General features: G+C 44.5%; 1 protein-coding gene and 2 long non-coding RNA genes across 8 annotated transcripts in view; 2 read left to right on the forward strand and 1 right to left on the reverse strand.

Moving 5' to 3' along the window:
- Nucleotides 1–5,170: 5,170 nt before the first annotated feature.
- Nucleotides 5,171–24,500, reverse strand: part of LMX1A (LIM homeobox transcription factor 1 alpha) — a 154,849-nt gene continuing 135,519 nt past the window's right edge. For 3 of the 4 annotated variants that reach the window (NM_177398.4, NM_001174069.2, XM_011509538.4), the window contains 5 exons: nucleotides 16,945–17,117; nucleotides 14,003–14,080; nucleotides 11,367–11,436; nucleotides 9,168–9,338; nucleotides 5,171–7,344 (listed from right to left, as the gene is read on the reverse strand). In NM_177398.4, coding sequence (NP_796372.1) covers nucleotides 7,184–7,344; nucleotides 9,168–9,338; nucleotides 11,367–11,436; nucleotides 14,003–14,080; nucleotides 16,945–17,117 — 653 coding nt within the window. In that variant the 3' untranslated portion in view covers nucleotides 5,171–7,183. Of the gene's footprint in view, nucleotides 7,345–9,167; nucleotides 9,339–10,791; nucleotides 10,919–11,366; nucleotides 11,437–14,002; nucleotides 14,081–16,944; nucleotides 17,118–24,500 lie in introns of those variants that run through there. The other variant, XM_011509540.3, reaches the window with a different exon arrangement.
- On the forward strand, nucleotides 7,351–16,227 carry LMX1A-AS2 (LMX1A antisense RNA 2). 3 transcript variants are annotated; one of them, XR_922234.2, is made up of 6 exons: nucleotides 7,351–7,451; nucleotides 8,810–9,074; nucleotides 11,034–11,136; nucleotides 13,837–14,271; nucleotides 14,540–14,641; nucleotides 16,146–16,227. It is a non-coding gene; the product is annotated as an LMX1A antisense RNA 2 (long non-coding RNA). The 3 variants fall into 3 exon arrangements; XR_922233.3 differs by lacking the exons at nucleotides 7,351–7,451; nucleotides 8,810–9,074 and having other exon boundaries at nucleotides 10,886–11,136; XR_001738275.2 differs by lacking the exons at nucleotides 7,351–7,451; nucleotides 8,810–9,074; nucleotides 13,837–14,271 and having other exon boundaries at nucleotides 10,886–11,136.
- Nucleotides 19,259–22,348, forward strand: LMX1A-AS1 (LMX1A antisense RNA 1). The gene is made up of 3 exons (NR_183535.1): nucleotides 19,259–19,445; nucleotides 20,435–20,557; nucleotides 21,897–22,348. It is a non-coding gene; the product is annotated as an LMX1A antisense RNA 1 (long non-coding RNA).

The following is a 24,500-nucleotide window of genomic DNA, read 5'->3' on the forward strand; positions in this document are numbered from 1 at the left end:
GCTGTTTCTTAATATCTGTAGGAGACTGGTTCCAGGACTCTCTGAGGTTACCAAAATCCATGTATGCTCGATTCCCTTATATAAAATATTATAGTATTTGTACATAACCTATGTATATCCTCTTGTATACTTTAAATCATCTCTAAATTACTTATAATACCTAACACAATGTAAATGCTATACAGATAATTGTTACAGTGTATTGTTTAAGGACAAGAAAAAAAGTCTGTACATGTTCAGTACAGATGCAATTTTTTTCTAAATATTTTCAATCTGTGATTATTTTAATTCATGAATGTGGAACCCATGAATATGAAAGGCAGACTGTATATATAAATCAAAATGTAGATAGTACAGGACTGGAATGGCAGCTTGGCTCCCAGAAGTTCTCAGGAATCCAGGCTTCGTTCTACACTGTTTCACCATGTGTGGCCTCCATTCTCGAGACCAACTCATGGCCTAATATAGTTGCTCCAGCTCCAGCCAGCACATCTGCACCCCATCCAGGAAGACAGAAGTGACACAGAAGAGGAAAAGAAGAACACTTGCCAGCTATTTTTAAAGGAAGGTACCTAAAAGATGCCATATGACACTTTTGCTTCTGCCAGCTAAAAATAGAGGGTCTTATTTTAGGGGAGAATAGATTATGAGGAATGACTAGCAGCCTCAGCTGCACCTTGAAACACAGTACCTTTTATCTGTATTAGGAAATTACTGGCAACATGCTCCTATCACCAACACCTTCATCATCTGCTTCACTCACTGACTCAAATTCCACCATTAGTCAACCCACCACTCCAACCAGAATGGTCTCTGTATACTCACATATAAAGAAAGATGCCTTGCAACCTTTCCTCCATACTTTTACCTACACTGGTCCTATTGTTTGGAATGCCCTCCATCCCCCTCTCTACCTATCTAAATTCTACCCATCTTTGAAGGCTCAGCTCAAGCCTTACCTTCTTGGAAAAGCCTCCTCTTCCCTTCCTTTGTCCCAATAACAGCTCTCTTTCTGAACTCCCATAGCTCACATTATCTACACTAGTCATCTGACTCTTGGCATATATAGACATATATGTTTAGCTCACATGCATGTCTTTCACCTTCAACTAGATTGTAAACTCCTTGGAGGCAGAAAAACTATCATGACTTCTTTGCACCTTTCCGATACCTAGGCATACATATGCTTCTAAAACTTCTATGTACCTGGCCACTTGTAAGTCAGGGTTGGGGGAATTAGCATAAGACCATGAGCCAAGAGAAATGAATCAGAAACTCAGCTCTGACCCTAACTAGGTCTGTAACCCTGGGCAAGGAACTTAACTTCTCTGAGCTTCAGATTTCTCATGTATAAAATACAAAAAGACCTGCCTAACCTAGTCCAAAGGGCTATGTTAAGGAATATACACACATACACACACACACACACACACCCTTGGCATAAGGCAAACACCACACAAACCATATGTCTGTAGTTTCTGTCCGAGTTTTTGTTTTGTTTTGTTTTTTTACTGTAAGCAATAGAAGCCAACAGCTCTTGCTAACTTGAGCAAAAATAGTCTTTATTGTAATAGCAGAGCAGATTGCTCACAGAATCAAAGTGTGTCTGGGGTCCAGACCAGTCTTGGAAAGAGATGGGGTGCAGGGCAGCTCTGGGGTCCAGGCAGCAAGAACTGTTTGACCAGCTTGTCAGGTGCATTGCCAGAAATGAACTAGCTCCAAGTTTCCAATGTTATGCCATTCCATGAGATTCATGTTCTGGGAGAGACTGGTTGGCCAAGCTTTGGGTATATGCTCCCACTCCTTGGTTACAGCAGACCAGGTAACCTTGATTCATGGTCCCACAAGGACTACCTATGCACAATAGAGGAAGGTCAAGTCCCCAAAGGAAATCAGAGTGATGTTATCAGAAGTAGGGTGAATGGATGCTGGGTGGTCAGAAAGCAGTAAATATCCACTATAGGGCTTAATAACCATGTGTTGATTGAGTGACAGTGGCCCATTCCTTTAATTCTGAAGATATTTTGCACTATAAGATAGTACAAGTGATTTCTTTAGACCTTATCAGTGAACACCTTGGAGAGCATCAGTTTATCAGATTCTTTCTACCAATGGCAATTAGAACAAGATCTTACAGAAAAGGGAAACAGAATGACTCCCTGATGGAGGGAGAGCACTAGGAGAGAGAAATAAAATCTCAGTTCTGTCATCATGTGCTCAGAGAAATCTTTTCTGACCTTCCTGACTAGGTCAAGCCTCCCTCCATTCTACTTTCTTATAGCTCTGTGTCTTCTCCTTTGTGGCTAATACAGCGCAAGTTAAATTTGAGTTTTCAATTAATGGCCATTTCTCCTATAAGTTGTAAACTCTGAGGGCAGGGCCAATGTCTTTCTGCTCACTTCTGAGTTTCTGTTACATATTCCAGAGCCTGGCATATTCTAAATATTTAGTAAATAATTATTGGATGGATGACATGAGTGAATAAATGAATGAATAGGTTCCAAAAGGGCCAGAAAAACTGGTCAGCTGCACAAGTATCTGGAGTAGGTCCTTCCAACCACAAATCAGGGGCAGGCACCATCTTTCCCTTCCCAGGCACACGGAGTGGCAGGAAAGAAGTTAAAAGTAGTGCAGATTAGCCAATGCACCATCCACTAGGGGCTGGGCCATGGTAGACTCTTTCCCAGAACCCTCCCCTGGAGGGTAGAAGGCCCATAAGGTGGTGGCAGCAGTCATCCACAGCTGCTGGGAGAGGAAATAAGTTATTCGCACTCTGATCTGGGGCATCCCTTACTTGCTGTGGGCATCTACCCAAGCAGGAGCATTGCTTATGTGGATGCTATGCTGCCCACGTGGCTAATCTGCATGTGTCTCCTGGGACAAAATAATAAGCGCTTCCATTTGTATGGCACTTCAAAGTCTACAGAGCTCTGTCGTAATTTTTTTTTTTTTATACACAACAACCAACTTGTAAGACATGCAAGTGTCATTGGCTTCATTTTATAGATGAAAAAATGAAGGCTCAGCATCTTGTTAAGGTTATACATCTAGGGAACTTCAAAGCCAGGTAATCTCCTCATCAAGGAATATACTTTTAGCATAAAAAATCTCAAGGCCTTCTTTTGAGCCCTAAAGATACCTCTTACCTTGTCACTGAACATAATGTTGAAACATGCCAAATAAAGGGATTCAGGGAAACAGGGTGTCAAGTTATGATTCAGTTTTAATTCTTGAGGGTACAGTTTTATTCTAGTGAAATCATATTATTAATAGGTTTCATCCTAGTTTGATTTAGAGGGAGAAAGAAAAAGAGAGAGTGAAAGAGATAGATAGACAAACTTTGATTTCATTTGCAATTCAGTTAAAATTTATTTTGTCTTTGAGTTTGGAACTGACAAATTAACTCCATTTTCTTCCCATTTTTTATTCATTTTAGGTCAACTCGTTTTCTTCAGAGACAGCCTAGGCACAGGCCCTTTGAGGCGTGAAGGCTCAACCTGTGGATCCAGGCTCTCCACTCTGAGCCTAGCCCTAAGGCCTTCCCCCTCATGCAGGTCATGAAAAGCAGGTGACAATAGGTGGCTGGAGGAATTTCCTATGACCTGACTCCTCCTTGGGGGTCAGAGATCTGAATGTGTCATCATAATTGGAATTTTATCTGCATGCTTTAAAACAAAACAGCAACCACTCCCCCACAATTCTGGCTCAGGCTCTGTAAGACACACGCTGAGATTTGAGGAGGTGATGGTGAGAAGTGATGCCTTCTGAGCTCAGGTGAACCAGGATGTGTTCTTCTTTTTCCTCAGATAGGGTCTGAGACTCCCAGCAGCCTTTCATCAATGACCAAACTCCAAGAGCAGGTCTGGCCTGCGGTGCAGCAGCTAACACTCATCTAGCCCTTACCATACTCCCAGTGCAGGGCTAAGTGCTTCACACATATTATCTCACCTGTGCTCACAACCCCCCTGAGGTAGCCACAAGTACCATCCCTGAGGAATCAACTCAGCAGAGTGAAGGAAACTGCCCAAGACCACACAGCTAGTAAGTTCAGGAGCTGGGATTGCAATCTAGACTCATCCACTTCCAGTGGGAAGGGGAAAAGAAGAATGGAGACAACCAATCCCCAGTGAAAGCCTGGAAGCCAGGAGCAGAGCCTTCATTGTGCATGGAAGAGAGGTGTGCTTCTAACCCAAACTCCTTCCCAGGTCTTTTATGTGAGTAAAAATATAAATTTCTGTTGTGTTTGAGCTGTTATAATATTTGGGGGTTTATTTGTTGCAGCAGGGAGCATTAGTCCAAGTAGTCCATATAGGCACCTAACCCAGCCTTGTAGGCTTGAGAAGGCCAAGTATGCTGATTCTGAAGACTAGGTAGTTGCCAACTAGGCAAATAAGAGGGGTAAAGGGGTTGTGCCTAGGCTCTCCCAGGAAGCTGGAGTTAGGAACTAAGGCCAGCCCAGTGGAGGCCAGTCTGAGATAAGGCCTCCTCAGTGGGCTCCTCCTGTCAGCCTGGCCTTATAATACATATCTCTCTCCTTCCAGGCCCTCAGCAAGAGGAAGAGCCAGCTTCTAACATGTGGTGAGTGAGCCAGAGGTAGAGGTTGCAGGCCTTGAACAAATGCAAGTGGGGGAGAAAACAGACAAAAAACAATACCACCCTGTGAGTATGTCTCCTGGTCTTATCTCCATACTGTTTCCTGACTTCTTTTCTCCATAGTCCTAATTGCCCACCATACATCACATTTAAAATTGTTGAGAACTTTGGGAGACTCTGTCAGGGAGCCACGATCTGCTGCCTGGCTCTCCCATCCTGGCTAGGCATCTGCCTTCAGGCCTGCATGAGAAATCCTTCTCCTGCCCCATCACTCTGTTCTGATTTCCAAGCAAATGTTCCCTCATCACGTATCACAAACTGCTCTGCCCTGAGGGAACTTGACGGTGGTGATGGAAAGCTCCCACTGCCTCCTTCTGTGGGGTTTTTTTTGTAAAGACTGGAGTCTTCGTCCATCTTGGCAAGAAGTTGAAGACCCTTTTCTCCTTATGTTTTGCTGTAGTCATCCTTTCCATTCATTCAAAGCTTTGCCATAAGCTCATCCCCATGGCTTTGTAGACAAAACTCCCACATCCCCCTGGTTCCCCACCAACCATCCCACCCCTGAATAAACAACAGCTCATTTGTAAGAGATTTTAATTTCATCTTGGTATGCCATTAAGGAGTGGAATAAGGATCTCTATTCATTTTCACTCACATAGTATCTCCTACATTCTCCAACTGGTCTTTACCACAGAAACCTGTGGGGCCATACAGCATCTGCATAATTTTCACTCATCAGACTGGTTTGGGTTTCTTGGTGGTTTGCATAAATTATAAACAAGAGCACAAAAATCACACAACATAGACTCTACCATAAGGGGACATGTTCCCTCTGGCCTTGCCAGAGTGATAGGGACGTGTCTCTGTGTTCAAGTCTCCAATGATGTCCCCAGAAATGAGGCCAAGCCTATCCTGGCCCCTCCTGGATGGGTCCACAGTGACCCGCTGTCTTCCCCACCAACTCATTCTGGGTTCCCAGGAGACTTCCTAGCACAGAACAATACCATCCTAGCACCGCAACTGGAGACCAGGGTGTGGAACTGTCCCCATGTACAATGGCTGCTGGGTCTTCTGTGCCGAGGATCAGAGGAGTGAGTTGGAAGGAAGAGCCAAGGGTTTCCACTGGAACCTTCTGCCTCTATGAGCGCCATGAGGTTCTTTAGAAACAGACCCTCTAAAACAAGGGGCCCCAAACTTTTTCTGTAAGGGCCAGACAATACAGATAGCAAATATTTCAGGCTTTCCAGGCCACAGACAGCCTGTTATATATTCTTCTTCTCCTTTTTTTTAATGACCTCAAAAAAAAAGTAAAAACCATTCTTTGCTGGCAAGCCATAGAAAGCAGGCCCGCAAGCAGGAGTTTGCCCAACCCTGCTCTAGAACACCACCAGGCCCTCCTCTATCCCCTCAGCCTTCACCTCCTCCCCACTCTGGGACTCTGGGATCCCTCTGAACTGCTCTGAGCTGGTGTCTCCTTCAGCACAGGCTTTGCAGAGGGACTTCAGCAGGCAGAACTGCCCTCTGGAGTTCAGGAGCCCTCCTGCTCTGCAACCCTATGTACCCTCCTTTGCCAAGTGAGTGGCCTGGTTGTATCTTAAACAAATATCAGATATTAGTCTCAGCCCTGCTCATGTGTCCTGGGAATGAATTAAGCCTTGGTGTTTCCCAGTGAGGTAGGTACATACTATTAGCCTCATCCACATTTGCAGATGCTGAAGCTCAAGAGCTGAACCAATCATCCTAGCACTGCCCAACAACCACTTGTCAGAATTTAAAAGAAAGCCCAGGAGTCTGGGCTTTACATTTTCTCAGAACATGATCAGAGATTATTCTGTCCCACCCCTGCCCAGTGATTCAACCCCAAAGAGAGCAAGAATGCAAGAGAGAACACCATCAGCCACACAGAATTTCTTTCCAGATCTGAAAGACACTCTGAAAACAGAATGAACCCCAGCACTCAAAGCTATGGGGCTAGGTGGAGCAGCCCTCTCTGCCCTGCTGACAAGTCTTGTCAAGCTAAAAATAAAGTTTATAAAAGTAAATTATCTCATTTTATAACTTAAGTGCATCAAGCATTTCCTTAAATATAGTTCACACTGAAAATAAAGTTACTTTTGCTGTACAGTTGGTGTCTGTTATAATTAGGAATAAACTTTGAGGGTAAAATACGAAAGGTTACACACTCACACACACACATCTATCTATCTGTCCTTCTGTCTATTGGTGTGTAGATGGATAGACATATGCACCTCTTGACAAGAGCTTCCCCGACATGGTGGGAAGTTGTTAGGAGTCCCTAAGTATCTAGTTTGCATGAGAATGTCTATATTAAAAGTCTCTGTCCTTAATGATAAACACGTCTTCATATCTAATGCTAAGACTCTTATTAGAAACATTAAACTATGCAATCCATAATGTATTCAGTCTTTGGAAATGCTGAGCTACACCATATCATTATACAACAGCATCCCCAACAAAACTCCCTCCCCAACCCACCTCTTCCCTGGCCTCCCTGTCCTAAAGCCAGTGACCCCTCAAAGAATATGGTTGTTCCATATGGGAGCCTAGTCACAGAACTCTAGGGGAAGACTCAAGATGTGAAGTAAGAATTCTGCATGGAGTACAGATGGTCAATGGGGTTTCCCACTCTGGACTGCAGAGGCCCAGCTTCTGAGGTTGCTAGGAAACAATCACCCAGGTTACTGAGGGAGGTGTCGTCGCTATCCAGGTCATGGAAAAGGGGCTCGGCACCTGAAATGGAGATGAAACACTGGCATGAGGGTCTTGAAGAAGTGACTCATTTCAGTGCTAGGATATTCAGCTGAATTCAACAAGTGTTGCCTGAGCACAGGCTCCAGGTGAAACTTTCTACAAAAAGTCTATATTCTCTTTAGGGGGCTCAAGTCCAAAGTGCAACAAGTGAAAACAATCTAAACCAGGATATGACAAAGTGCTAAATTGAGTGCAGCATAAGCAAATGTCACAATGTCTAGACAGGGAGTGTGGGGAGTAGGCAGGACATGTCACCAGAGGCTGGAGAGACAGGGCAGAGCTCCTATAGGACTTGGGCCTGAAAAATGATGCTTGAAGGAGGGATGGTAAAACCAACAAACAAAAAAACAAAACAAAAAGAAAGCTCTTTGAGTGAAGCTAATGAAAACTCCTGTGATAACATTTGTTCTTTCAAACACCAAGGGTCTACTATCAGCTGTTACCCCAAATTTGTAATGCAAAGAAAAGGAAGGTTAGGTGCCTACCTTCAACTAATTTACACCTTTGATAGGGAAGCCAGTAGGGCACACATTGGAACAGCTGAGAAATCACTGCAACCAGGATCTGGAGGCAAAGAATGTTCTGCCTCTGCTTCAAGTAAATAGGAGAGGTGAAAACTGGAGTTTATACAACTTGTCATGGGGCTTTAAATATTCATTTTATGAAAGGACTCATCACAGGGATACTTCATGTAACACAATCCCTGAGACTCTGAAAAGAATTTGCAAAAAAATGTGTTTGCCCTGTTTTCCGATAGCTGTGGAGTAAAGAATGGTACAGATGTGACCTGTGCCTTCTAAGGAAGCCAAGAGGGTGGCTATCACTGAACATCCAATGAGTGGGGTCAGCCAGTGAAGGGCTTGTCAAGGGCCAAATCTTAATAAATGTTTGCTGAATGTGTGATATGGGAAAGTAGGCGTGATTTTAACAACAGAATTTTTTTTCATGAAGGCAAAAAAAAAAGTTGTTTGGCAAAATCTGTGATCTGTGGCGTGAATCTCTGATACTAATGTTTTGAAGACTTGCTGCATAAGATTATTTTTTAACTATCAGTGTAATCTATCAGATTACACAGTACAGACCAATGCATTACATACAACACTAACCTTCTCTGTATAAAATGTAATGCCCTATACTTGGCTGAGGTTGAACTTGAGCCTTCACTCCAAAGCTCACCCAGCCCCCTACTCTGGGTCCTCAGGCCCCCGGTTGTTGTCCATTAGCTTAAGCACGAAGCTGGGTAAGTGGGAGAGGCTCAGCTACCCATATATGCAGCATTTAAATCAATGCTTCTTTGGGTGGGGTGGGTATAAGGGAGATACTTTCACTTTACAAGTCAGTTTATGTTTCACTAGTTAAATTAGAGCACCTATTAGTATCCATAGTAGGATAGTCCAGTTAGAAAATTTGTCTTCTGTGCTTTTTATTTCTTTTCTTACTTTAGGTAAACGTTTGCTTAATTAAGGCCTTCTGTAGCACTGATACTGCTGATCTCTGGCATGAAGCGCAAGACTTGCAATTCAATGACAACAAACAGGTCTACAAGGAGAGCACAACTTCCCATTTAAAACCAACAAACAAGAAGCTTTGAAAACAAGATAAATGGAAGTGTCAATAATGAATATGCATGAAGGTCTTTCTCCTGTAGTCATTGGTTAGGCGATTCTGGCAGTATTTTGTAGGGCACATTATTCTGCTTTGGAACTTCGGTGAGCATCTGGGAACTGCCTAGATGTGTTTAGGAGGGAATGAGAAACCCACACAAGTTATGAGAGGGCCCGAGGGGCTTAAGTCCCTCTTACCATAAGGGTGCATGTGGTCTCCAGGCATCTGGGGTGGGGTGAGACCCTGTCGGAAGGGATCTGAGCTGTAGACACTCTGCTCGATGGCCAGGAGCTGCTGTGGGGTGGGCAGAGCCGTGTAGGGGTTCATGATTCCTTCCATCCCAGCACTCCCACCACCGTTTGTCTGAGCTGTGGAACAAAGAAGAAGCCAGGTCATTCTCAACGTGCAGCCTGGCATGTGATTTCCCTGGGTCCTGATTCCCTCATTTATAAAATAAAATGGGATGAGGTGACATCAGTGGTCCCAGCCTTTGTCCTACCAGAGGCCATCAGGAATCACCTTGGAGGACAGGAACAGGGTAGGGGCTGGGATGTTGAACTTTGAGAACATCCTTGAAATATATTATTTCAACAAAGGTTTTGATGCTAGCCACATGTTTGGCAGTCACTAGAATAGATGTATCTAAAGATCTTTCTACGATAACCCAGTATGAGCCCATCAGTCAAGTGGGAGTTGTGACCAGTTGACCTCATTGGGTTGATGGGAAGATTCCATAGGACTGTGTATGCTTTGGAATTATATCTTGCTATGCTTGTAGATAGAATTTTATAAGAAAAGCAGGATTCACTTCCTGCCTCCACATCTTGCTGAGGTTCTCTGAACCTGGGAAGAACAGAGACTATTTCCCACCAGCCTCTGCTTTCTTAAGTCTACCTTTGGAGCGCCTTTAGAATTATTTAAACTAAGTCCCAAGCCATATGAGTTTGTGTTCTCATATGCTTTGATGCATTCTTCTCCCTTTGAATTGCACAGGGGTCCTGTGAGGTAGGACTAGCAGGCATTAGGGCCCTACCCTAGGGATGCACACAGCCTGAGGAACAAGGAAAAGTTGGTCCCACATAAAGAGCCTTAGGGGTGGAGCTGAGGGCAGAATTCAGATCTAACCAGCTTCCTGCTCCACCCTTCCCCACACCTATGCCCTGTTTTATTTCTTCTCTCCCTAACATCTACCTTGTTGTTAACATACTGTTTAGTCTAGAAGGTAAGAAACTAAGGGAACTCTTGGCTGCAAGAGTCAAATTCTGGATTAAGCCTAGACCCAGTGTCAAGCACAAGGCAGGGTTCATGTGAGGATAAGAGGCTCTGTTGAGGGGCCAGAGAACTAGGATCACATTCCACAGACTTCAAAGTGTGGTCCACAGATTTCAAAGTGTGGTCCACAGACTAGCAGCAATGGCACCACCAAAAAGCTTGTTAAAAAGGCAGAATCTTGGGGCCCACCCAGACCTTCCTTATGAATTGGAATCTGCACCTTACCAAAATCGCAGGTGACTTACGTGCATATTAAAATGTAAGAAGCCCTGTTTTAAGGTACAGACCATTCAAGGAATTCTGGATAGCTGAGTTGGGTGGCCAGGGGCATAGCGTTTAAGAATGACATTGTTCTAATATAGTAACTCTTCTTTTTTTTTTTCCTTTAACTTCCATGAAGTCTCCCACAGTCTGTTCCTCTTCACCCTCCTCCCTAATCCTCATATCACCCTGACTTTTTCAAAAGCACATCTGGGTAGAGATGAGAAGGCCCATGGCCTGTGGAACACAGTTAGAGTTCTAGTCCCAGCCCCCTGCCCTTACCGATCTAGGGCCACATTCAATCTTGCAGAGCCTTTGTTTGCTCATCTGTGACATAGGGATAATAACAACTTCTCCACTCGCCTCCAGGAATGGGTGTTGTAAAAGTCAAGTCAGCATGTATGAGAACACCAATCTATAAGAGTGTTCAACAAAGGAAGGCATTGTTATTTTACTATCATTATTTTTACTACTTTATGTTATTTTGGAAAGAGCCAAGTCACCGAGGTGTCTTCTATTAAATCAATTAGCCTGGAAGGAGAACTAAGCAAGATGAGAAACTGAACGTATCTGTGACTCTGCAAGCAGTCCCTGACGCTGTGGTGGGATCCAGGCCTGGACGCTGTGGATAAGGTCAGTGCCATCCCCAATCAGCAGTTCTAAGCCTGCAGCTCAGGAGCCCTCAACCCTCTCACAAGTTCCTCGTGGCTCAGTCTTCCCTTGAAGGCCTTATTTCTCCAGTGGGTGTGGTCTAGGCTTCACTGAGTCCAGATATGTCATCCAAAGAGCTGGGTAGTGGGAGGCCTCTGGTAGGAACAGCCTGGATTCCAGCCAGAACTGCCTGGGAGGAGGCACCAGCTTACCAGAGCTCAGCCTCTGGGTGTTCTGCTGATCTTGCTGCTGCTGCTGCTGTCGCCTGGCCAGCTTCTTCATCTGATAAGGAGAGGACCATAGGATTAGAAGTCAGGTGGCCTGCAGCATGTTCACAAAGTAAGGGGGGGCCTGGAAGTGACACCTTCCCCGGGAGAGGGCTTGTTGGCAAAGCTCTGGCTCTTACTTAGTAAAGGAGCAACAGTGGCCAGCCCCATATGCGAGAAGCATTGCAGCTGAGAGCTCTTCCACTCTGCAGCAGTATAAAGACAGCTGGCTGGGAAGCAGGGGTGCAGCTTGTCTTAGCAGGAATAGGGATTTTTTCCTCAGTAAATAAAACTTGCTGCTTGTGGTGTGACCATTTTACATTAGGTAATAAGTGTGTGACTGTGAAATCTGCAGCCCAGCCTAGACGTATGGAACAAGAGGTTGTGATTTGGGGTAAGCTAAGAGGCTGTTCCTTTCCTCCTCCCTGTCTGCTGGCCCTTAAGATTGAGATGAGCCTACCCAGAGATTCATGCCTCTTCCAAAGCACCCTGCTAACACGCAAGCTTCCCTGAAGGAATAGTTTTTTATTTTTTATTTTTGAGACGGAGTCTCGCTCTGTCACCCAGGCTGGAGTGCTGGAGTGCAGTGGCGCGATCTCGGCTCACTGCAAGCTCCGCCTCTCGGGTTCACGCCATTCTCCTGCCTCAGCCTCCCGAGTAGGTGGGACTACAGGCGCCCGCCACTACGCCTGGCTAATTTTTTTGTATTTTTACTAGAGACGGGGTTTCACCATGTTAGCCAGGATGGTCTCGATCTCCTGATCTCGTGATCCACCCGCCTCGGCCTCCCAGAGGGCTGGGATTACAAGCGTGAGCCACCACGCCCGGCCCCCTGAAGGAATATTTTAACTCAATATTTCTCAAACTGTGTTCCATAGAGCATTAGGGTTCCACGAGATGATGACATATACTTTGAGTGTGTGTATGTGTCTGTGTGTAGGAAACACTAGATTTTTGTAAAAATTTTCTTTATTGCAAGATTTTTCAGAGCTTTAAATGTGTCCCTGTGCTTTATGAATCCATAGGCTATAGGGCCTCTGCAACTTATTGCACTATGGAGTCTTTCTTTGGTACACATCAACAGCCCTGTTCTGAGGATGTCAGTTAGAGAAATGCTACCTTAACCAATCATGATCAAATAGTGAGATAACCTGTGATACTGTAAAGCATATATTTGGTCGTTGACCCTGTTTTTTGGCATACGGTTCCTAAAATTTTTGGACTCTCCAGAGTGATACCTATGTGAATGTTAATGACTGACTGACAGCTGTCAGCCCCTAGGTAGCTTCAGGGTGGAGAATGATAATCAGAAAGACCCAGGTATGATTAGATGGTTGGAACATTCAGCCCCACCCCCAAACCTCTGTGGAAAAGGGATGGGCTGAAAGTTAAGTTGACCATCAATGCCCAGTGATTTAATTAATCATGCCTACATTATGAAACCTCCATAAAATCCCAAAAGGATGGGGATAGAGAGCTTCCAGACAGCTGAATACATGGAATTTCCTGGAGGCTGGGGTGCACAGGGAGGGCATGGAAGCTTCACACCCTTCCCCCATTTCTCGCCATATGCATCACATTATTCACATCTATTGTAATATCCTTTGTAATAAAGCAGTAAATATAAGTAAGTATTTCCCTGAATTCTGTGAGATGCTCTGCAAATTAATCAAATCCAAGGGGTGGGGTCACTGGAATCCCAATTTATAGCCAGTTGATCCGAAGCATAGGTAAAACCACCTGGAGCTTGCAATTGGCATTTGAAGAGGAGGGCAGTCTTGTGGGGCTGAACCCTCAACCTGTGAAATCTGACACTATTTCCAGGTAGAGAGTGTCAGAATTAGAGGACACCCAGTTGGTATCCACTGCACAATTGATTGCTTGCTTGGTGTATGGAGAATATCTCCACATATTTTGTCACAGAAGCATTCTGCGCTGATTGTTGTAGTGTAAGAGCAGAGGAAACATAGAGTTTGTTTTTTCCTCATATCATCCACTAAAGATCAGGGCTCTTGAGAAACAGTCCACAGGGCACATGTATTTTTAGAGGTAGGTAGATGAATGAGCAAAAGGTCTAAAACTAAAACCATGATGAGGGAATATAGAGCTTCATTGGATCCAGAGGACAGTATGATGGCTTGGGCCTATATTAGTGAGGGCTGGGCCCTGGGAGAAGTAAGAAAAGGCACTCATTCTACCCTGTCATAAAATTGTCTTGGACCAGTTATATGCATGCTACTTTTAAAATAACTTTGGTATTTGCATTAAATAAATATGAATTAAAGAACATGCTTTTACCAAAAGACACAGAAAGACATTTATTCATACAGATGGCTGGCCAAAACCACAGTCATGGCTGCTAGGAAAATACAAGCAATTTCACTAAAATGAATGCCTTCTCTCTCCCCTTCTGCAGGGCTGCTGTGGCCAAAATAATTATTGATAACAGAATTTTTGAATCAAGAGAACTACTCTATCCAATGAGCTAAGGCGAGAAAACCTGGCAGCAAGTACAATGTCCTACTGTGATTATTTCAGGAAACCAGCAACATGGGGACAGATAAAAGTAAGAAGCAGGTTACCTTCGCTCTCTGGTTTTGGAACCACACCTGGACGACACGGACACTCAGCCCTGTCTCTGCAGCCAGAGTCTCTCTCACCTTGGAAAAATTGAACGAGAAATGTAGACACACTGGCATCTCAGGGTAGGAGGTAGAACATCTCCTATATAATACTTGAGGAGGCCAAAAGACTGTATCTGCTTTAGGAGCTGAATAGTTTTTAATGTTGAGCATACACACAAACACGAGAACATTGCTTCCCTTCAGGTAGAAAGAAAGTCCTTCACCAGGTAAAGAAACAAAATAATAATTATTAATTTACATGTGCATTCCCAAGAGGTGTTTCTGGATTTCTCTTGCTCTGGAAATTAGGCCTTCAAGTGGTTTAGACTTTAGTCTATTGTTGTGCTTTAGCTATAAGCCATGCATATGCATTGACCTACTTAAGGAGATCTGAGAGTGAAAATCACTTTGGAAAAACAAATGGCTCTCTCTTGGTCTCCTCTCTTGCCTAAATTCATTGACCTTAATTTTTGGTTTTGTCCCTCATATCTCTAGGTAACTTTGGGTGTTTCATGAATATCCATAGTGACTGCTACCCCAAGTGAGCCCTGCCCAAAGAGAATAAAATGAGAGCCATCTGGAACCCGGCAGAGCCAGGTAGGCAACTCTGAGGCCAGCACATGTGCCAGGGCTGTGGTGGAGACAGGACAACTGGGATCCAGATAATAAAGAGATGCATTTAAACATCTGCCTACCATACAGGCACACAGTGAGGGTCTGGCAAGGTGTTGAGAAGAGAAGGGGCAAGAAGCACAGATTTTCAGAGGGGGGCCTGAGAGACACTGACCTCTCTTGATTAGATCCTGGGGAGGAGATGGGATTGAAAGAGCTCCTTGAATAAACGTGTGAGTAGAGCAAATGGAAGCCTTGAGAAATACTTCCCCTTTATCATGCCACTTGGGGAAAGGCTTAGAAGTGGAATGATTAGAACAGGTTTTTATAGCACATCCTTCTGCTAAGCCAACTAAAATAGGAGTGTACTCAGGGGCCCACCTCCACCTGCTGAAACCCTATCCATTCCTCAGAGGCCCAGCTCAAAAGCCACCTGTTCCACAAAGCCTTGCCTGATTGCCCAGACCAAAGTGACCTTTCCCTTCCCTTGCTTCCTGGCTTCCCCTCTGTTATGGTCCTCAGAGCCCCCTCTCTGGTGTTACAGTAATGTGTACACGCATCTCCTTCTTGCTGGTTACCTGGAAGCTGCCCGGGGACAAGCACCCAGCACAAAGCCCTACATGGGCTGGGAGTTTAGTATACATGGAAGAAGTAAATAAGTGAGGAAGACTGTAATTTGTCCTAGTGCAAGCCCAATTTGGGGGCATTTTACTTTCTACTGATACCTCTCTTGGAGCATAAGGAGCTGCAAGGGCAGAAAAAGTGAGTCTGCAGCTGAATCTTTCCAAATATCAGAAGTTGTGATAGGCTGGACTATTGCTCAACAAATATCTATCCTTCCCTCCCCTGCTCCGTGGTGGGTGTGTGCTTCACCACTGCACCTACGCTGGGCTAAGCCCATGCCTTGCTTTGGCCTGTGGGATGTGATGTGTCTGATATCCAGCAAGAGATTTTCGATGGGCTTCCCACTTTGACTTGGCCTCTTGCTTCCTGCCAACCTCATGAGAACAACAAGCCCAGGAGGGGGCTGCTCCTTCAGCCTGGACCCTCGAATGATAGACAGGTGGAGCAGGCTGGAACCTGCACCCAGCTGGGCCACAGCCAATGCACAGCCCAAGAAAAGAAAATACATGTTTGTTGGGAACCATGGTGACTTTTTGTTTGTTTTTTTTTTATCACAGACAAAGCTGACTAATGCAAAAAAGGATGCAGGAAAAATAATGCTAACATTTTTTCAAAATGTATTTCCTTTATGAATTTCAGTAAAGAATACCCTATTTTCTTTCTTTTTATCATGTAAAAGATAGTACTCAGTATATGACAGGCAGTCGATAAACAATAAGTACTCAATAAATGGGCGCTGCTATTTATGGCAGACTGCTAATTGTCCCCAATATCTATTCTTTCTTCATCCTATGAGTAATTGAATCACTAAGTTTAGCAAGTTCTTGGTCACCCAGACAGACTCATTTCCCAACTTTCCCTGCAGGAAGTGTGGCCACAGGACTACATTCTGGCCAACACATATGAGGAGAAATGATTTGAGCAACCCCTGGATACATCCTTAAAAAGCAGGGCGCTTGCCCTCCATTTCCTCTTTCTCTACCTGGTGACTGGAAACATGGTGACAACTGGAGCAGTCGCTTGGACACAGGAGATGGATAACAGAGCCACCCACCAGCCTTGCCTTGCTCACCTCTGGACTGTGACAGAAGAGAATAAACTCCTGTCTCATTAAACCACTGTATTTTTTTTTACATGAATGTCCATAGCAGTCCTATTTGAAACAGTCCCAAACTAGAAACAACCCCAAACACCCATCAACAGGTGCATGGACAAACCAATCATGGCACACCTATACAGTGGAATGCTGAAATAGGAATGAATGAATCCCCAAACCACCACACCAAGTGGAAAAAGCCAGACTCAAAAAAGAGTACTGCAAGCCACTGTGTTTTTATACTCTTTGCTTTACAGCATCTGGGTCTACACCACAATGGACACCTATCATTATTACTGTTCCCATTGTGCTCTATGAAATGAAAGGTGTGACAGGGGCCATTTGGAGTTGGTGTGCATGCATGAAAGCTTCAGGAGAGTCTATCACACCCTGGCCACAGCTTAGTGATCTCTGGAGTCTCCAACAGGCTTGAGCCGCCTGTGCAGGCTCTGTCTGAACAGCCTTCCTCACCACTGTGACCCCCAATGCCCACTGAGATCCCAGAGGGGTCTGAGTGCACACAGAGAAGTGGGGCCCAGCTCCTTTTCCTCCCTGCTCCCTCCTATACCTTCCTGCAGGGCTTGGAGGATACTTCAAATGAGGCCTTGAATGCTCGCCTCTGTTGAGTTGTCAAGATGGTTCTCGGACGTTTGGGGCGCTTATGGTCCTTGCCTTCCTCAGCAGTTCCTTTCCCTGCCCCATGGGCTGACTTGCAGAGACTTTCTTCATCATCACTTTTACCTGAAAGAAGCAAAAGACAATGTTGTGAGTCCCTGAAAGCCAGTTCCTGGAGCTGTATGTTATTCCATAGCAAGGCCTCCAGGTCCACATTTCCAGGATGGCTTTATGTATGAGAGCAATAATCTATGTGGTATTGCTTTGAAAGCTTCCAGGAAGAGGCTAAGAAAAATACTTCTAAAACCCAGAGACAGGCAGCAGAAAGTCCACCATTACACTTCAGGCTTTATCACAGCATCATATCCTGGCTCCGCATTTACTAGTTGCGTGGCCTTGGGCAATGATATGGTTTAGTTCTGAGTCCCCAGAATTGTAATCTCCACGTGTTGATGGAGGGACATGGTGGGAGGTGACTGGATCATGGGGGCGGTTTCCCCCATGCTGATCTTGTGATAGTGAGTGAGTTCTCACACGATCTGATGGCTTAAAAGTGTGTGGCTTCTTTCACACTCTTTCTCTCCTGCTTTGCCATGTAAGACCTGCTTTCTTCCCATTCACTTTCTGCCATGATTGAAAGCTCCCTGAGGCTTCCCCAGCCATGCAGAACTGCAAGTCAATTAAGCTTTTTCTCCTTATAAATTACCCAGTCTCCGGTATGTCTTTATGGCAGTGTGAAAATGTACTAATACAGGCAAGTTACTTAACTCTCTACAACTAAATGTACTCTTCTGCAAAATAGTGATATATGAGAGGATCTACTTCATTGGGGTTGCTGTGAGGATTAAATGAGTTTATACCAGTACGGCACTGAGTGCCCTAAATGCCAATGAGCCTTGACTGTTGATGATTAATATTATTTCTTAGATGTCATTTTTCAAGACTAGACCTAGACACTATGTCTGAAACTCTAGTTACTGCCAAGTGGTAGAAAATATTATTGTTAAAAAGGCCATAGAGAAAAGCATTAGATTACCTGCCAGTACAGATAACTCAGAATGGACAGGTAACACTGATAACTAGTCAACATTGCTTTTCTGTAAAGTAAATAACTCTCTACTGTTAAAGTAATTGTCTAACTATTTGAAATACTTCAACTCTATAAGCAGTGAACAACATGAGGGTTAACTCTGAAAGGAAATAAAATCTCTAGTATACGTCACTTTTTTTTCCAGGCTACCTCTTACATTCCACAGACATCACACTCCTGAGAAGGTGCTTCTAGGGTCTGGGGCATACCTGTGTAAGAGAGACTTCTTTTTACTTTTGGCATTAAAAGCCATAGGCAGGCCGGGTGTGGTGGCTCAAGCCTATAATCCTAGCACTTTGGGAGGCCAGGGCAGGTGGATTTCCTGAGCTCAGGAGTTTGAGATTATCCTGGGCAAAGCTCCGTCTCTACTAAAAATACAAAAAATTAGCTGGATGTGGTGGTGGGTGCCTGTAATCCCAGCTACTCGGGAAGCTGATCCAGGAGAATCGCTTGAATCCGGGAGGTGGAAGTTGCAGCAGCAAGCCGAGATCACGCCACTGTACTCCAGCTTGGGTGACAGAGCAAGACTCTTGTCTCCAAAACAAAATAATAATAATAAAAGCCATAGGCAATTCTATGCCCAAATGATCTAACAAGAACCTCATTTTTCTCTGGGTTCTCACAGAGCTCAACTGCCCTCTTTTCTCTGGTGAACATCTTTGCCTCAATGGCTTTCCCACAGCTGTGCCAGTCCCTTCTGGCCACTTCAAGAAAGCAAAGATGAAAGGACCTACTGTGTGTGAGCTACACATCCTTTTTCTTTCCTCCTGTCCTCCTCTGTGAAGGATGCCCATGGGCCTATGCTGTTTTAGTGTAGACATTAGCTGAGTTCTCATTTTTGGCTCTGCCAGAGCCAAAAAAACTTATTTAATCTGAAAGGATAATGGCTTCTTCCTTCCACGAACATTTGAACATACAAGGTTGAACATGAAGGGAACACTAAATTGTGAGTTCCTGAGGACATGACCCTTTCAATATAAATGAAAAGGGACTGATACAGGCAGACCTAGGTTTCCATCCCAGTTCTGACCCCATGCTGTAAGTATGGCCCTGTGCAAGTTATGTCATGTTGCTGAGCCTTGGTTTCCATAACTACATACCAACAACAATAAATACCACACAGTGGGTGTCACAGAAGTAGAGTTGTTGTGTGTAAAGCAACTAACACAGTCCTGGCACTCAGGCGGCTCTTAATAGATGGTATGAAAAGGGTGTCTTTTCCCTCTGCCTCACCCCTCTCAATAGTACAAATAAAACCCCCCACAAGATTAAAGAAGAGAGTTAAAGCAAGAATCCTCATGACAAGGGGTGGCTACTCTGGCATTTTCAAGTCTTGAGGTTGCTGTTTTCCAGGGGGTGATGTGGTAAGCTGATCTCAGACATAACCTTGGTGTGAAGGGATTATAAAATCTTTCTAGAAGGTTTTCAGAGTGGCAAGGAAAAAACAAGCACTTAAGAACTAAGAGCCTCAGGAAAATAAGAAGATCCCACAGGAGGATAAAAGGTAGAAAAAAGAAAGCCATTGACTGCACAGATTTGCCCTGGATAGACCCTATTGATCCTACTGCTCAGAGGCACCCCAAACTTTGGTGTTTAGTGAGGCCAGCAATTCTCTCTGGTGGTGAACTCCCTGGGGTAAAAACAATGCTTCTTTAGCACTAGTGATGACTTCAGTGACATTTCTGAGGAAATGGAGCTAATGCTCCACCCCAGGGATCATGCAGATCTCCTTCAAGGTAGGCAAGAAAAGAGGCTGAGTCTGCAGGCCAGGCTCAGAAAGAGAGCTGGGAGATTCCCAGTATAGAATATATTTTAAAATGCAGTTGTATTATCTCCAGAAACCTCATCCCTCATACCAGTCTGTTCAATAAAACAGTACTTGCATTGACCCTTTTACAGTCACTCCTCACATAGTTTGATGCAAATGTATATTGATAACATAACTAATGAAAATGTAAAGTCTAAAATAATGATAATGGTTCATTTATATTGATACAATCCAGGAAAGCAATGTGACATGGTATCTACAAGCATGGCCTTTAGCGTTATATAAATTCAGGCTTAAATTCTAGCTCTGCCAGTTACTGTGTTTGATTCTGAACACATTCTCAAGACTTAATTTTCTCATCAGGGAAAGTAACAGTGTTGTTGGAATTAAATGGGATGATATATGTAAAGGGTTTAGCACCACCCAGAAATAATTGGTATTTAATAAATCACAATAATAATCATTATTATTTCAACATAAAAGACATATTCTTAGTTCTGACATGTGTTGTCAGTTAATTACAGTCAGTGGGGGGGTCTCAGTTAAGGTTTTACACTGCAGGTGTTCATTTCTCTCTCTTTGCAGATATGACCCTAGCCAACATGTAGAGCTGGTTTTGTGGACTGTGCCTGTGTGCTTGTGAGAAAGCAGAGCGACAGAGGGAGGCAGAGTTAGAGCTAGTTGCAGAAGGAAAGTGCAATTTCTGAAGTTTGTTCAGAGCCCCAGAGGCAGGATGGCTAAGGGCCTTCTGGGGTCCTCCTACTGCTGTTGCTGTACTCAGCCTTGCCTGGGACATGTGTACATCCCCCAAAGAACTGCTGTGCCATCGTGAACCAACAAAGAGAGGGGAGGAGAACACCTCCTAGGTTAGCCGTTGGGGCCTATTTTTAGGGGAGGTGGTGAGCACCACAGGTGGCTGCTCCTTCCTTCTCTCCGCATCCCTGAAAGAAAAGAGAAAAACATATTTGTTTTCAAAACGAGGAGAAGAGAAGGGGAAAGGGACGAGGGATTGGTTCCAGGACCCCTGCATATACTCAAGTGCATACTCAAACCTGTGCATACACAAGTCCCTCAGCTGGTCCTGCCTAACCTGGCTACAGGAAAAGTGGGTCTCCCACAGTGCATATATGTGGGTTTCACAGCCCTTGAATACTGTCCGCATTTGGTTGAAAAAAATCCACATATAAGTGGACTTGCACAGTTCAAATCCATGTTGCTCAGGGTTAATGGTAGCAGTAGTAGTGGTGGTTTGTCTCTGGAGTGTTTCTGTTGCTTTTGTGGTGCATTTTCTTTCTTTGAGTCCTCCTTCCTGCTATTCAATATCTCATTCTCTTCCATCCCTTTACATCTTCCATTTTGCTTTCTAAGAAGCACTTCATGCTCTAGAGCTGGAGTCTACAGACGTTTCATCTAAAATGCCAGAGTTAACATTTTAGCCTTTGCATGCCTCACAGTCTCTGTTGCAGCTACTCAACTCTGCAATTGTAGCACAGAAACAACCACAGACAATATGAATGGGCATGGCTGTGTTCCAATAAAATGTATTTCAAAAACAGGCATCAGGCCAGATTTGGCCTGCATACCATAGTTTGCTGACCCCTGCCCTAGACCTCTCCTGACCTCTTGTTCTCCATCAAAACTTACACATCCTGTGTCCCGTTCTTCCAGCTCTGACTCTGGAGGCAGGAAACACTGCTGATGGTTAGCATGGTTTGATATGTTCTCTCCCACAGTCAATAACATATATGCATTTAATAAGAAATGCCACTACCCAACAGTCACCAATGTGGAATTTTGGGCATCCTGGCACATCTGAGCCAGAAAGATTCTGAAGATGGAGGAACAGAGGAACCTTTTGGCACCTCTCAAAGTACAGATAGATGCCACAAGCCAGCTGCCAACAGGAATCCAGACCCTGGCTAACCATCACCCAGCTTCCATCTACTGTGTTGTAAATATTATGGGTATAGTGGCGCCCTCTGACTCTCCTGGGGAGTTTCCAAGCTGCTCTTGGGGTGCTCACTGAGGCTTTTGTTTTCTCTTTCAGCAGGGGCAGACCTGCCTGACTTGGATATCAGCTTCTCCATGAAAATATGCAGTGCCTAAAATTTACACTGATCGATTTGTTCACGAGAAAGGACATTTCTAAAAGAGCCAGGAGACTGCCCCCAGAACCAAGAGGAGTACTGGAGAGCAGAAGATGAAGAAAAACCTTTAAACAGCAGAGCAGTGAAGTGGAGGGAGAGGCGGCCCCTCTCCTTTGCCAGAGACTCCCACTCCCAGATGCAGGCTGGAGCGATCCCTCATAATTTAAGCTGACACCCCTCAGCGGAGATGAAAGGAACACCACTCGCTGCTCTCCAACAACAAATGTCAGCATCCCTGGAGGCCGTTTAGACACAAACGCAGCATAAATCTGACTCCTAGTGGGGAAGTCCAGAGATTAAGTCTCCACACACAGCCTACCAGAGTGAAATGAATTTGCTTGGCACAAAGTTTGAACATGTTTCTCAGGGCCTTTCTTTCCCCTTTCTTGTAAAAAAAAAATCTGGAATGGTTCAGGGCTGTTTTCCCCCTTGCTGTTCCTTCCACTCGTTTATGACATAAGCAATGGCAGATGAAAGACCCAGCCATGGTTTATGGCTCAGAGACGGAGCTGCACTACCTGTGGGGCCTCGGAGATTCATTTCAGGTTGTTGGAAAAATCCCAACGGCCCATAAACAGGGCAAGAGATATCTGAGCTTGGCCTAGGAGGCGAGGGTGAGGGAGGGGATGAGAGACCTTCATGCTAGGGCAGGGAGAGGCAGGAATGGGCCTCAGATGCTTCCCCAGAGATGAGCCTCATAAATGTCTTTTAGACAGGGGGAGTAGAGGAAGGGTCTGGGATTTGTTGTGAGTGGAGGGAGGAGGGAAAGAAAGAAGGGAGGAATTTATGAAGACAGGATATATAGGAAGCTATTTCAGTCACTGCCCTGCACTATAGGACTAAAATTCCATTCTCCCTGACAATAGCAGCGATCAACTCTCAATGCAATGAACTCAAAGCAGAATTTAAAATCCAAGAGGCAAAAAGTGCAGTTCTCTAGAAAAGCAAAGTCCATGTAGCTACTGTTTTGAAACTGTCTGACACATAGTTCTTCAAGGGAGTTTCTACTCAGACCAAAAACAGTTTCTGGTAAAAGATTTGACTTGGAGTTCTTTCATTTACTCTTACACTTAGCACTTATTATGGGCTAATGTGTGGAGCACTGCACAGGGACAATCCTAGGATCCAGGGATGATGAAGATTCAGCCTCTGCTCTCACAGATATATGTGATTAGTAGAGGATAAAGACCCAGCACCAAAATAATAACTGTGCAGAGGAGTTAAGAGAGGGGACTAGGGAAGGGTTCACAGTGCAGGTGTCACCTGAGCTGAAAATGAATGACACAAATGGTGACCAGGAGTTGCCAGGGAGAAAAGGGGAGAGAGGGCACTTTATGCCAAGGGCATAAAATACCTAATGACATGGAAACAAGACATTGACCTGGAATGGAGGCTTCTCAAATATGAATGTTCCTGGCATTCCACCACACATTCAGCACTGTTCCGAGTACTGTGAGGGGATAAAAAAGAAGAACCCCTTGCTCTTAAGGAACATAAAACTGAATTACAGTGAGTTGGCATGTAAAAGATACTAAAGTATATTAAAGTGTAAGTAGTTAAGTTCTTCAGGCATAGTAAAAACTGAAAAAAAAAAGTGTGAGCATTTAGAAAAGAGGAGTATCAATTAGCCAGAGAAGTTAATGAATGAAGGAGGCTTCCAGGTAAGGAAGGAGAGGATTTAGAAAGCCCAGTGGGAAGAAGGAGGTGTTACAAAGGACAGGAAGGAAAGGAAGAAGGTGTGTGCAGAGATAAGTGTGGGCCTTTTGGGGCCACAGGCAGCCTTTCATGGCATGGAAGGTCTTATTGGAGCCTTCCACCTAACCGAGGAATAAACATAGCCTCAAAGAGGTGCAGAAACCTGTCCCAAAAGACACAGGGCATAGGTGGCAGGGTCAGGTTTCATGCAAGGCTTGTCTACTTCCAGGACCAGGCCCAGAGGCACCCCTGCAGGGAGGAAAGGAACAGGCTGTTTAGCCAGCATATCAGACATAGTAAGCAATTGACAGTCATCTGTACATGCCTTGGGCCAAGTGTGTGGAAAATCAAATGCTTTGTCTCCCATTAATTACTAATAACCATTAAAGATTACTCTTTCTACGGGAAGGTGTGTGGAGTGGTGGAAAGTAACTTTGACCGTAAAATAGGAGACCTGGATCCTAGTTCTAATTTTGCTACTAAGCTGTGTGCCCTTGGATAAAATTCCTCATGTCTCTGAGATGTAATTTCTTCATCTATGAGATGAATTAAAAATTCCTTATGTTTACCTAATACTTGACATGGCATCACTTTATAATTGCATTGTTTCACTGTTTCTACCACAACCCTATGAGACAGGAAATGCCTTGTTATCGGTTTTTTACAGATGAGCAAACTGAGGCCCAAGAAGAAAGTAAGGTGATCTTTTGCCCAAGGACACACAGCTGGGATGCTCTTTCTTCAACCCCTATCTCTCCCTACCTGCTTGATTTGCCTCACGGGTTGTTGTAAAGATCCAAGGATATGTG

The sequence above is a fragment of the Homo sapiens genome, chromosome 1, assembly GCF_000001405.40.
Source record: "Homo sapiens chromosome 1, GRCh38.p14 Primary Assembly".
NCBI lineage: Eukaryota > Metazoa > Chordata > Mammalia > Primates > Hominidae > Homo > Homo sapiens.